At 45.8% G+C, this 14,328-nt stretch overlaps 1 long non-coding RNA gene across 6 annotated transcripts, besides 1 other annotated feature; it reads right to left on the bottom strand.

The window, feature by feature from the left end:
- Positions 3,929 to 4,429: an enhancer, noted in NCBI's record as "H3K4me1 hESC enhancer chr17:21425539-21426039 (GRCh37/hg19 assembly coordinates)". NCBI's record gives its function as "activates a minimal SCP1, AML or CMV promoter by ChIP-STARR-seq in primed H9 embryonic stem cells {active_cell/tissue: H9 hESC(primed)}" and the evidence as "EXISTENCE:reporter gene assay evidence [ECO:0000049][PMID:30033119]".
- LOC105371589 (uncharacterized) lies at positions 5,438 to 13,144 on the bottom strand. Of its 6 annotated transcripts, none has more exons than XR_007065665.1 (5): positions 9,295 to 13,144; positions 8,248 to 8,305; positions 7,559 to 7,617; positions 7,003 to 7,222; positions 5,438 to 5,642 (listed from the first exon to the last, which is right to left on the bottom strand). It is a non-coding gene; the product is annotated as an uncharacterized LOC105371589 (long non-coding RNA). The 6 variants fall into 6 exon arrangements; XR_934331.3 differs by having other exon boundaries at positions 9,375 to 9,462; XR_007065666.1 differs by lacking the exon at positions 9,295 to 13,144 and adding an exon at positions 8,972 to 9,051.
- Between the last annotated feature and the right edge of the window lie 1,184 nt (positions 13,145 to 14,328).

The following is a 14,328-nucleotide window of genomic DNA, read 5'->3' as shown; positions in this document are numbered from 1 at the left end:
TTCTCACTGTTCTGGAGGCTGGAATTCCAAGACCAAGGTGCGGGGTATTTGGTTTCTCTGAGGCCTCTCTCCCGACCTGGGATGACCTTTCCTATGAGCACACCCAGCACTGAGGTCTCTTTATGTCTCCAGATTTCTTCTTTTATAGCGACACCTGTCATGTTGGATTAGGGCCCACCTTAATGGTCTCACTTTAACTTAACCACTCCCTTTAAAGGCTGTATCTGTAAATTCAGGCACATTCTGAGGTACTGGGGTAAGGGCTTCAGTATGTAATTTTGGGAGAGACACAATTCAGATGTACAGGACCTTCAAGTTTAAAACTTAATATATAAAACCTAATTAATAAAAGGGTGATTCTCTCTACTGCTTCTCCATTTGACAGCTCAGTCTTGCCTGTGCTTAAGCCTGGAAAAAAATAAATGGTGCTTCACAGTGGATTACTACAACCTTAACATTGTAATCCTTTCATTAAGACCCCATACCCAACACCCAGTATTATGGAACTTACTGACCCCATCCAATCAACAACTGGTAAATATTTTGCTGTTATAGATTCGGCTATCATGTTCTGTTCAGTGCCTATTTCAATAGCCTCTCTGCCTTAATTCACCTTCACCTGCAATGGGACACAGTACTTCTTCTCTAGGCTACCCACGGGGTATCCCAGCAGCGTTGCCACCACATACAATCTTCATAGAGCTCTTAACTGCACCCGTTTCTCCAGGAGCTCAGGGTGCCCCAGACCTTCATCCCAGACAGCATTGCCCTGGAGCTCACAGCTGGAGATGACATCACCACAGACATCCCCAACCCAGCCCTGTCCTGCAAGCAGGATTCTGGCCTCCCTAGTTAGGCCTCAGAACTGGCTGATCACCTGGCTTCATAAACCTGGGTGTTTTCAGGGAAATTTTTGATCTCTACAAACCGTGACATGTAGAGAGGGAGACATATCTGATTCAACAGTCCCTGATCCACTGATCCATGGACATATTTGCCCACAAGGAATAACCAAGAATCTCTCTCTGGTGGAGGTCAGGGGCATTACATGAGCTGAGTAGAGCTTAGTTTTTAATCCCTAGACATAGGCAAGGTGTTTAAGTTATTACGCTTCCAAGCAGCATGGCCCTCACTCACTCAAGGTGAGATAAATATTGCTGCAAAGGAACAGCAGCTGCATTGTTGGAGTTTCGCTTTTGAGGCATGTGTGTGTGCGTGTGCGTTGATTTCTTTCACAAAATACATTTTCAAATACTTCCTCACTCCAATCAACATTGCCCCTTCCTTTTAAATAAATTTTTTGAAAACTAATAAGCCTATTTTATTTATTTACATTTTTTATTTACATTTCTTTACAAACTGTTCGCTATTAGTCTACAGTGAAAAGTCAACACTTTATAAAATAAGATTGGCATTTAAAAGCTTCTCAATTCTAATACTTTGAAAGGCTACGCCGATTTTCAGAAAGTCTGGGCTATTCAAAATATTTTACAAAATTCTGAAACTTTGAAAAGCTGCAAGATTTGGAGACAGCAAGACGAGGCGTTTTTTCTTATATCCAGTTTTGTTCGTTATATGATGAAATAAGCACTTTTTAAATTAACAGCTTGAATTCTAAAATATATTTTTGAAAATCAATAATGATTTTTGTAAAAATAGAAAATCTGTTGTACTTTTATCTTAAAATTCATTTCTTATCTATTTTCTAGATTTGATGTTTTGCCATTTTAAAGAATACTAGACAAGAGGATCTCAATCTGGATCACTATATTGGGCTCCTAATATCCTGATATAATTTTAAATCATCCCAAACAACGCATTATTACCATATACATCAGCATTTCCCAAACTGTGCTATAAGCTATGTATACTATTGATATTTTTGAGCTAAAATATACTTATAAATACATAAAAATATATTTATCTAGGTGGTGTTATGCAATAATGCACTTTTCAAAAAGAAATGATATACCAGTCTCAAGAATACCCGGAAGCTGCATGAAAATTCTTGATTCCTTTTATATATAGTGACAGAAAAAGATGTAAATATAACAATTGGTTATTTTTATTGTATAAAGTTTTTTCTATAAGCACATGTGAATTAAGTATTCATTATTCCACATTCCCCATGTCACCAACGCTGGGTGCCCACAGCACAGTTATTCTAACACTGCAGCTGCGGGACTGAGGGTGGCAGACTGGGCACCTGCACTGAGCCACATTCTTCACACAGTCGGACCAGCCCTGAGCCGGGGGCAGAAACATCCTGACGTGAAAAGCTGTTTGCCAAGTACAATGACCACACGTTTCGTCTATTTTGAATACACCATCACAACAAACTCTACGTTCTTGACAGATGAGACAGGCAGATATGATCTTTGAAGGCGAGTGAGAATGACGTTCACACAGACTCCCATCCTCCCTCACATGACTGGAGGATTAAATGGCGGCGGAGGGGTGGATGTTCAGCTCAGGGGCAGATTAGTGACACTGTCACAGCTATTTTAGGACCTGAAATATTTATATGATCCTATTCCAAACCCTAATACATAAACAATGAACTCAAAACTGTACACAAAGGGAAACAAAAAACCACTCTGACAGTGTCCAGGTCCCTCATAAACTCCCCAGAAGTCAAGGAGGTCCAGGCTGTTCTCAAATTCCTGGGCTCAAGCGATCCGCCCACCTGGGCCTCCCAAAGCTCTGGGATTACAGGCATAAGCCACCACACACGGCCTAATAAGTTCTTTTGATATGTTTGGAATGAATGTGTTTCCAAGGGTAAAAGCTTACAATGACATCTTTCTTACCTGTAAGATACCCGAAGAGCAGAGAGAGGGTCCCCAGGCTGGCTAAGCATCCAGAATGCTGGAGGAGCTTTAAAAACATAGATATGAATTATTGTGCTTCACCCCTTACTTACTGAGTCACAATCCCAGGGATGGAAGCGCCCAGAGATCTGTCTTTTCAGAATTTCTCTGGCTCTCCAGATGGTGCTGACAATCAGGCAGATTGAGAGCCAGTGCTGCAGGCAGCTCGTCCCAGACCTCGGGAGCAGGGGAGTCACCCAGGGCTAGGTCAGACTGAAGGTTCTGGTGCATCAGGGGTGGGGAGGGGCTTGAGAGTTGGCCTTTCCAACAACCTTCCCAGAGGGGCTGGTTTGCTGATCCTCAGACCAGGCTTTGAGGGTGCACAGCACTCTTCCTCTAGGTGTGTGTCCACATACCTGGCACCTTTGTTGTTGCATTGCCCCAGGTATAAAGTGCAGGGTGCCCCCTCTACGCCTTCAGCCCTGCTCTCTCCCCTGCTGACCCCCAAATCTCTGGGGCTTGGACTTGCCTTTATAAAGGGACCTCTCAGCTCAGGGGAGGGCCCTCCCCACTGGCCCCCTCTTCCCAAGGCCCAGCATCAGTGGGAGCTGCTTGAGCAGCCCCTCATCCTGAGGGGTCTATGTGGTGTGAAAGGCTGAGGGACACTGTTCTGTTTATTGTCAAGGGCCAGGAAACAAAGCCTGGAAACAAAGTCTGGTATTGCTCAACCCAGTGGTGACGAGTGACAAGATAGGGTGGGGTGCAGAGGAGACTCCCACACACAGCAGGACCGAGTGAGCATCAATTCTTCCTTCTAACACTGGCACCAAGGAGAGACCGCTGTCCCTTCCCATAAAGGCAGTGGACAATTGGAAGCATCGCTTGGTGTGCCAGCTCCTTTGGGGCAGGAGAACAAGAGGAGCCCCATCCCAAGCACAGTGGATGATGAAGGGGGTCCCGGGCTCCCCAGATCCTGGGCTTCTCTTGATTCTCAGTGTTAAGCTTGTTGATTGAATATAGTTGGTTAATGTGGACCCCAAGGCAAGGAAAAGACACAGGCCAAGAAACGGGGGCTTCAGTCAGCTCTGAAAAGTCAGGAAGAGCATTTGTCTTTTTTTTTTTTTTGAGACGGAGTCTCGCTCTGTCACCCAGGCTGGAGTGCAGTGGCGCGATCTCAGCTCACTGCAAGCTCCACCTCCTGGGTTCACGCCATTCTCCTGCCTCAGCCTCCCGAGTAGCTGGGACTACAGGTGCCCGCCACCACGTCTGGCTAATTTTTTTTATTTTTAGTAGAGATGGCGTTTCACCATGTTAGCCAGGATTGTCTCGCTCTCCTGACCTCATGATCTGCCTGCCTTGGCCTCCCAAAGTGCTGGGATTACAGGCATGAGCCACTATGCCCAGCCAGGAAGAGCATTTCTAACATCCAAATGCAAACGTCTGCCACCCCGGGCTGCTCCCCTCTGGAAACTGCACTGCAGGGCACAGCACGTCCCAGGTTTGCCTTTCCTAATTCCCTGCACCACCCAGCTCCCGCCTCCCTCACTTTGCGGGATGAGAGGCCCACACAGACAGTTCCTTCTCACCTTTGAAATGGCAGTGGTGGCTGCAGCCTGGGAGCTGAGGCCATCCCAAGCGGGTGAGACCCCCACCAGGGGCCCTGGGTGCCTGCCGGCCACAGGCCGAGCCATCCAGGCTATGCACAGGCACGCCTCAGCCACCAGGATTTCTTTCCTGTGGAACTGGGCCTTCCATCCAGAGAGTCTTGCAGCAGAGAGCAGAAATGGGCTTTCTCTCTGCTGGTGTAGGAAAGCCATGGCAGGAAGGTGGTACCAACAACACACAGCTGCCTGTCCCATGTGGGGTCCCACACCTGCTGCCTCCTGGCTTTCCTGCCCCTTTCCTTTGTAAGTGTGTTCTTTGATTAAGTGTCCTCATTTTAATTGTGTCCAAATGTTCACACTGTCTCAAGTGATGCTGGAGCCACAGCCTGGGGCCACTGCAGGTCCTTCCTCTGGAGCAAAGGGTCTTTGTCACAGTGTTTCTCTAAAAGCATATCCATCCTGAGTGACACTTATTTTAGAAACAGATAGAATTGCTGAAAAAAGGGTTGAGCATTTGAAAATGTCTCCAGATTTCAAAGAAGTTGGCCACTATCTATGGGGAATTGGGGGTGAGTAATGGCTCTTTAAGTAAATGAGGACAGACCAGGCGTGGTGGCTCACGCCTGTAATCCCAACACTTCGGGAGGCCGAGACAGGTGGATCACTTGAGGTCAAGAGTTTGAGACCAGCCCGGCCAACATGGTGAAACCCCATCTCTACTAAAAATACAAAAATTAGCTGGGCATGGTGGCGTGAACCTGTAATCCCAGCTACTCAGGAAGCTGAGGCAGGAGAATTGCTTGAACCCAGGAGATGGAGGTTGCACTGAGCCAAGATTATACCACTGCACTCCAGCCTGGGAGACAGAGCAAGATTCCATCTCAAAAAACTGTAAATGAGCACAAAATCCCAAAGGCTAGAGCCACCGCCCAGAGCAGGTTCAGGATTGAAATGCCCCCGTGGTTCCCCTCCCACCCGAATGCTCTATTTCAAAATGAAGGTCCAGGACAAGGGGAGAGCATGTCATTACTAAGGTTCAGTGTTAAATAGAGACGTTCTTCCACCGATGACAGCCATGATGGGCCACCTGAGCTTTCTTTGGTTTTCCCTGCCATCTGCATGGTCCTCCATTGCACTTGAACAAGGAGTCCTGAGGGTCCAAGTAACTTGCAGAGATTGCTGTGCTGCCAGGAGCGAGTGAAAGAAGAGGCGAGAGCAGCTGCCTCAGCTAAAAAGAAAGCCAGAGGAGAGGGTGGGTATTTAGGGAGCGGGGATTTTTAATTTCAAGTGAATTCTGTAATTAAGGACAAGGGGTGGTGGTGGTGGGGCTCGGGGCTGGGTGCTCTGGCACTGTCCCTAACCGCAATCACAGTGATGGCTTTGCTCCTGTGCTGCCGTCCCTCCTCCCTCTCAGCAATAGGAAGAACGTGTGTGCTTTGATGCACGTGGTGCAGCAGGCCTGGAATGCCACATTTCACACAAACTTCAGGTGACCCCAGTGCTGCTGATGCATGGACCACGCTGTGAGTAGCAAGGTCACAAACTCCCTTGAGGGAGGGGAGTAGCTGGGCTGGGTTTCTGAGAGACCCTATTACGATTGGACTACTTTGGGCCTCCCTTCTTGAGAACCCAAAACAGCTGCTGGGTGTGCTGAAGCCATATTCACCCCACCACAAAGAGGACAGTCAGCACCTTTCTCCACACAACGGTATAAGGTTTTGTTTTCATATAAAACCTCAACAGATGAATGGGGCCATTATCAATCATTTTCAGAAAGAAAGGCTCAAATACCAACTATTTATTTTTTATGGAGTCTTGCTCTGTCACCCAGGCTGGAGTGCAGTGGCACGATCTCCACTCACTGCAACTTCTGACTCCCGGGTTCAAGCAATCCACTCGCCTCAGCCTCCCAAGTAGCTGGGACTACAGGTGTGTGCCACGCCTGGCTAATTTTTGTACTTTTAGTAGAGATGGGTTTCACCATGTTGCCCAGGCTGGTCTCGAACTACCCTGACCTGAAGTGATCCACCTGCCTCTGCCTCCCAAAGTGCTGGGATTACAGGTGTGAGCCACTGTACCCAGCCCCCAAATACCAACTATTCTTTTAAAAAAATTATGAGTATGTTGGAGGCACAGTGGCTCATGCTGTAATTTCAATACTTTGGGAGGCCAAGGCAGGCAAATTGCTTGAGCCCTAGTGTTGGAGACCAGCCTGGGAAACATGGCGAAACCCTGCCTCTACAAAAAGTTTTTAAAAAATTAGCCGGGCATAATGGCATTCATCTATAGTCCCAGCTACTCAGGAAGCTGAGGTGGGAGGATTGCTTGAGCCCAGGAGGTTGAGGCTGCAGTGAGCTGTGATGGCACCACTGCACTCCAGCCTGGGTGACAGAGTGAGACCCTGTCTCAAAAAAAAAAAATATATATATATATATATATAATATATTTATTATATATATTTATTTATTATATATTATATATGTATATATTTATTATATATATATATATTATGTTGGGAGAGATGTCCCTCATAATTAAACTAGGTTAATACAGATGATTTTATTTAACAGCTGAAATGGTTCTGTTACCTGGGAGCTTGTTTTATATTTAGTTGATCTTGGAGGATCCATCATGAACCGCCCTAGAAGCGCCCACAGTTACATGTTCCATGAGTGCTTGATGGAAAACCATGTATTTCTGAGGCTCTGGTGGCAGGTAGCAGTTATGCAATGGCATGAGGAAAATCCATTTAGTAGAGTTGTCCAAAAGTGCAATGGCCTGGCTCGGTAAGCTGTAAATTCTCTGTCCCTGTGAGGGGTAGAAAGTGAGGATGGAGAAGGAAGGAATATGCCAGACAGGGGTTGAACCAGATGGGCTTCTTCCAGCTGTCAGCTTCGTGACTACGGGTACTGTCCATGTCTCCAGGATCCACCTGGGATGCCTCTGATAATGTAACCACGTACCCCCATTTTTCTTAGGCAGTTTATTCCAACAAGTGAGCTATGGTGCAGGCATTGGGCCATGCGGTATCTGTTTGACTTTCAGGGCCTTAGGTCAGCTTGGTGGAGTTCTCTGGGTCCCTCTAGAGAATCATCCAACCCAGGGATGGCCTGCAGGGTCCCGCCCCACCACTAAAGCACTTACATTCACACAAAATCCTGGAGCTGAATGTTCTCAGCAGGCTTATTCCTCATAGCCAAAAGCTAGAAACAAATCCAGAGGTTCTTTGAGGAGCGAGTGGTGAAACAGTTGGGGTCATTGTGGAAATGGAGGGAAGCCTTTGGAGAGATGTATAGGAAGAACGAACAGGACTCGGTAATGGATTATTCATGACATGGGGGGATACAGGCTGAAGAAACTCTCCTAGAGTCTGGATTGGGGTCCCTAGGTGAGCCGTCACACCATTTATTTAGACAGTAAGTCTGGGTCACAGCCAAGTCAAGGAAGATGACCTGGACAATAGAGTGGGATCAGTTTTAATCTGTAATGTCAAAGAGGCATTTCAGTCTGGAAATCAGCTAGGCAGCTGTACATATAATTCTGAGTGGAGATAAAATCTGGAGGTTGTAAGAATAGAGTTAATAATTAATGCTTTAAATATCAATTTGGTCACCCAGAGAGCTTGGGGTTCTTTTTTTCTGGCATACCAATAAAAGAATAACAGAGTCCAGGGGTGAGTTATGACGCACTTCAGATTTTAAATCCCAAGCAAGGGTTGTGAGCGCGCTGGCAAACCTTGGGGAGGAGCACAAGAAATGCAGGAGGAGAAGGAGAAGCATCGGCGTCAAGAGCCAGGAGCGAGATGGACCCCAGAAACAAAAGGAGCCACTTACCTGGACTGCTCCTGGGATGTGGTAATGGAAAGTGGCCATTAGATTTTCCATCATGGAACTGTCAAAAGACAAAAGTACAACAGATTTAGTTTAAAGATCCTAATTGGCTTTATTTGCTATTCTAGAATCAGGCAACACTTCATTCCATAAAACAGACTGAGCGTTCCTCCAAGCAGAGTGGGGGAGATGGGCTTTATGGATAGAAAAGGCTGAAGTGGAAGCAAAGAACAAAGCATAGATTGGTTGCAAAGTTACTTTCCTTGTAAACATTAAAGCAGAGGGGAAGGACTGCTTATCACTCTGGCTAAACCTGGCCTGTTGGAGATTTGCCTTTTATCTCTCTGTGTCCTGACTTCTCAGAAGGTCAGATAAACAACTTAGTTTTGGTTTGGAAAAGTGGAACTTTAGCGCAAGGAACTCCATTCCAGTCCGGTCTTGTTACTGAACTGAACCTGGGTCTGCTTGCCCCGTGTGGTAAAACCAAACACCCACACGGAGGTTTGCAGCAGGAGAAAGGAGGGTGTTAACTTGCAGGACACCAAGCAAGGAGAATGGGGCAGCTTACACTTCAGACCCAACCTCCTGGATGGCTTACAAGCAAGGGATTTTAAAGGCAGGGGAACAATTCAGGAAAGCAGAAGTTACAGGGAAACCATAAATCAATGCAGAGGGTATACATTGGTTTGGCCCAAAAAGGCGGAAGCTCTTGAAGCAAGGGGCTTACAGGTCATAGGCGGCTTCAGGATTCTTTGATTGCAATTGGTTAAGGAAGCCAGGCTTTGTCGAAAACTTGGGGTCAGCAGAAAGGAATGTTAAGGTCTGGCCTGTGGGCATGACTCTCTCCAGGCCCCTGAGAAAGAAATTTACAACAAAGAGCAGCCGTCAGAGTGCAGCCCTCAGCTCCCCGACATCTGAGGTCTCTGTGATGATGGTCAGTATTTTCCATCTGACGTGGGTCCGGGTTTCTGAAAAACCATTCATGGACATATGCTAAGATGTAATCTTTAGTTTCAATAGGGGACCAAACACCTTGTGGCTCTGACTTACTTGAGTGCCTGTTACTTGAAGCTATTATTCCCTTCTTGCTTATCAGGTGGCTCATTTACTTCTCAAGGCCAGCTAGGTACCTGGAATTTCCCTTGAAGGAAATCAAGATTTTCCTTTGTTTCCATGCTGGAGGAGGCCCAGCAGGCCTCTAATAGGGGTCCATGCTCCGTCTCAGTCTGTTGGGCCTAGTGCAGAAGCTCAGTCCAAACTAATGGCCTCCTGTAAATGTATTTTACAGAAGTCAGCAGTGTCCACAGCAAGGGAGAGTTTCTTGAGCAACCTGTTGGGAGACGTAAGAGTGCAATAAAGAGTGAATGTCAGGTGAAAACACTGAAAAGATGAGGACTGACAAGTATTTACAGAGGGTTAACTCTGAAGTGGTTCCAACAAACTGGGATCTTGAAAAGCAGGTCGTGGAGGGAAAAATGGCTTCCCCTTCCCCTTCCCCTTCTAGGTTCTTTGGCTGGGCTAGGAATTAAATTGACATAAGAAAAGCTAATAGGAGAAACACCACTTTAATTACATCTATATGCACAGGAGTCCCCCAAACTATAGACTAGGAGAAGGGCCAGATGAATGAAGCTTAGATAGTGTCCTGAGTTACAGAAAGGAACAGGGGCTTGGGGCTTGCTGAGGATGGGCACAAGTTCTGGGAGGGTGAGGGGAGGCAATGTCTGGTGAATAAAAGGTGTCTTGTTCTGCAGAGAAAAGTCTCTGGGGTGATAGAAGTTGTCTGGAACCAGCCCTCTTCCTGATACAGATACTTCACTAATGTAGATTTCTTTTATAGTTATAAATTTCTTTTACAAAAGGGCAGTTTTTCAGAGCTACTCCTGTGTCTGCAATTTCTTAGAATAACAAGATCAAAATTTGCCTAAGAAGTATATTTTGTGTTCACATATCTGGTTTTGTACTGTCATATTTTGGGGTGGTGTGTCCTGAGCCCCACCAGCAAGGGCCATGTTATAGGAATACAATTTTTAATTGACTTTTTAGAGTTGTTTTGAATTCACAGCTGAAGGGGCTTAGAGTATGCCATCCCAAAATATGCCACTCTGATACAAAGATTATTTTGAGCTGAAGACAACTGAGACCAAGTAGACACAGGACAAACTCTCTGCCCTGTCCCCATCTACCAGAAGGGCAGGATGGCTCTTACCAGCCCAGAGGTAGCACCAGAAAAATCAACATCACAAGCACACCAAATCAACCTTATCTGTCAGCTTCCCCCATAGATCTACCTTCCCACAACTTGTTATCCAAAGAAGCTCAAGGTCCCCTTCCTTTGTCTTTCCACTTCTCTACAAATACATTGCTCTCTCATTAAGATGCTAATAAGCCCAAGTTCTAACCACCTTTTTGAGTTATTACTTATCACTGAGCTCTCCCATGTGTATTTGCGATGCATGAATTAATAAATGCGTTGTTTTCTCTTGTTAACCTGGCTTTCATTGGTCTAAATTTGTGGGGCCAAGGCAATAAACCTTAGATGGGTGGAGGAAAGATTTTTTCTATACTTACACAGCAAAATTGAGCTGAGCGTGCAGAGAGCTCTCATATACACCCCTCACCGGCCCGCATGTGCTCACGTGCGCACACACACACACACACATACACACACACACATGCACAGCCTGCCCTACTGTCCATGTCCCACATCAGCAGGGCGCATTTGTTACTACTGCTAAACCCACACCAACACATCATTATCACCCAAAGTCTGTGGTTCACATTAGGGTCACTCTTGGTGTTGTATTGTCAGTGAAAAGAGCCAAACTCTGTAAAATATTTGAAGAGATTTATTCTGAGCCAAATGTGAGTGACCCAAGGTACAGTCAGTCTCAAGAGGCCCTGAGAACATGTGCCCAAAGCAGTTGTTTTACAGTTTGGTTTTATACGCTTTAAGGAGACATGAGTCATTAATCAGTACATGTGAGATGTACATTGCTTCAGTCCAGAAAGGTGGGACAGCTCGAAGGGGGTCGGTGGGAGGAAGGCTTCCAGGTCATAGGTGGATTCAAAGATTTTCTGATTGGCAATTCATTGAAACAGTTATTATCTAAAAACCTGCAATCAATACAAAGGAGTATCTGGGTCAAGATAAGGGGTTGTGGAGACCAAGGTTCTTACCATGTAGATGAAGTCTCATGGAGGTCGCCCTTAGAGACAATAGATGGCCAATATTTCCTATTCAGACTTTTAAAAGGTGCTAGACTTTCAGCTAATCTCTAGAGGATTGGGAGGGCCTGGAAGGGAAAAGAGCTAGTTATGGTAATAGAGATTCTTTACGGATGCAAATTTTCCCCACAAGAGACAGCTTTGCAGGGCCATTTCAAAATACACAAAAAAAATCCTATTTTGGGGTAAAATATTTTTATTTCCTTCTTTATCTGTCATATGATGTTATACGAGAGTCAGGTGGGAAAGAAAGCTGTGTTATATATAGGGTTAAATAAAGCCCATCTGTTGAGATGTCAGTTTCTAGGGTATGACTCCCCAGGCCCCTTAGATAGGAATTTGGGCAAGAGAGAAAAAATGTCAGTTTAGTCCTCAGTACATTCTGTGGGTTTGAACAGATGTCTAATGCCATATCCACCACTGTCATATCATACAGAGTAGTTTCACAGTCCGGCAAATCCCCTGTGCTCTGCCTGTTCATCCCTCTCTCCCCCAACCCCTGCCAACCACTGCTCTTCTTACTGTCTCCATGGTTGTGCCTTTTCCAGAATGTGACAGAGTTGGAATCTTACAGTATGCAGCCTTTTCAGATCAGTTTCTTTCAGTTAGTAATATGCATTTAAGGTTCTTTCATGCAGCTCAATAATGTTTGGCAGAGACTCAAAGGCAGGGAGAGGAATGGGAAATCTGCGGTGGAAAAGGGGAAGAGGAGTCCTGATGGGGTTGCCAGCCACCAGAGGCGGCTGCTAGTGAAGTGGCCTCATTGTCTGGGGTGACACCCAAGGTTCATTGTCTCACAGCCACAGAGATCAAGGGCGAGGACACACAAAGGGTGAGGTTAAGAGTGGAAATTTAATACGTGAAAGAAAGAGAATAGCTCTCTGCTACAGAGAGGGGTCCCGGAAAAATAGGTCGCTGATGCACAGTGGAATGCAAAGATTTTTATAGATGAGCTAGTGGGGAGCAGTGTCTGATCTACATCGGGTGCGAAAAAACAGGACCAGGTGTGCCATCTGCATAGGGCACGAATCTCTGGACGCCCCCACACCAATCTTTTATTACGCACGTGGGTAGCTACTCCATGTTGCTTATTTCTTTCTTACTGTGCATGTGTTAACAACAACAAAAAATAATTAGGGAAGGTGAACCCCCCATGGTGGACATGCCTGGCGCCAGGTAGTCCCTTTTATCAGTGCAGCTGCAGGCCTCCCCCACCCCCCTGCAAGCTTCCAGCTTCCTCATCTATGTTTGCAGCTCCATCTTTCAGGCTGCTCTTTGTTAGAAAGAAATGATTTCTTGGGATGTTTTTTGTTAGAGTTCTGCCAAGGACTCTTTTGCCCTATCTGCCTAAACAATTTATTTCCATCTCCTGTATCCAGTCAGGGGATCCTACCTGACTGGTAAGAGGGTGCCTATTTGGTTCTCCCTGTTGGTCCTAAGTTGGAAGCAAGGGCAAAAAGGAGGGAAGCCGTCAGTGCAGTCCTGACCATTAGGGTTGCTGTATGCAGTTTCCAGCTGGCTGCTTCACAGACTGTGGGTCAGAGCGTCACCAGGCTCTTGGGTGGATTTTTTAAATCCCACGGACTGAAACCCTTCTTTATTATCTCCAGTCACTTGATCACCTTTCTTTGACAGAGACAGTTTATTCAGTGTTGCTATTTAAAAAAAAAAAAAAAAAGCTGCTACTATTACTACTACTACTACAATTACTATTTATAATAATGGTAATAATTACAATAATGATGAATCCCAGCAAGGACCAAATAATTATAATTACTGATTTAATATTTATACATAAATATTTACTAAAATATATAATCTATATATTACGCATATTTGTACTATGACATTTATAGTATCTACATAAGTATATATTATTTGTGTATTTATGACAATTTATATTTATAAATTACATAATAAAAAGAATATTATTACTACTACTACTATAAACCTCAGGACGCCCCCCCACCCCCCACCATAACCTAATATCCCGTTTAACCATCCGGCCACCCAATCCCACGTCGCCCCCGCTGGTAGAGCTTGCTATATATAAAGGTGACCGCCAGGTGTCGCTAGACAACCAGCGTGAAAGCCAGCCGGACGGATCCGGATCGCGGGCGGGCGGGTAGGACGCCAGGCCTCGTCAGGGTCCACCTCGGGTCGCATTCCCACCTCGGGGTTCCCTGGCAGGCGTGAGTGGAACCGTGAGATCCCTGGCAGCCAAAAGAAGCCTTGGAAAATTTGGGGAGGAGCGCCCTAGGCCAGGGACAGCTGCCGAGCAGGGGACAGACTCCCCAGCGCCTCCCGGGCCAGCTCCCCACCCAGAGTGGACTTCAAAATTCACCGGGGTCGACCTACCTCAGCCTCCCCAGGGGCATTTAGAAATTTCTGCAGACAGAAAGCCCCTCCTGCGTCCTCTTCAGAAGTATAACTGTTTATGTCTAATCACTATTTATGTAGATTTATTATTTATAAAGTATAATTTATACTTATAATTCTATAAATGTATATTATTTATATTGACATAGTTTTTAAATGTAAATAAATTATTATTTGTTTATAATACTTGCTTATAACAATTACTATTGCTATATAAATCTCAGGTTCCCCCATCCCCCTACCCTTACCTCCCCACAGGCCTCCCCCGACGCCCTTCTCTCCTCGCCTTTCCCCCTTCTCCTCTCCCAAATTCTAGTTGCCCATCTGCTTGGTTGGGCTGCTGGTCGATCTGATCAGCTTTCTGAGGCCACATCAAAACTGCAGAAATGAGGCTGATCGACCCAGCAACTCTAACAAAGATCATCCATGGGACATCTGGTCGCCCCTCTATCTCGGAGCCAGAGGCTATACGCTCTT

The sequence above is a fragment of the Homo sapiens genome, chromosome 17 (genome assembly GCF_000001405.40).
Source record: "Homo sapiens chromosome 17, GRCh38.p14 Primary Assembly".
Taxonomy (NCBI): domain Eukaryota; kingdom Metazoa; phylum Chordata; class Mammalia; order Primates; family Hominidae; genus Homo; species Homo sapiens.
Note: the sequence above shows the minus strand (reverse complement) of the source record. Positions and strands in the feature narration are given on the sequence as shown.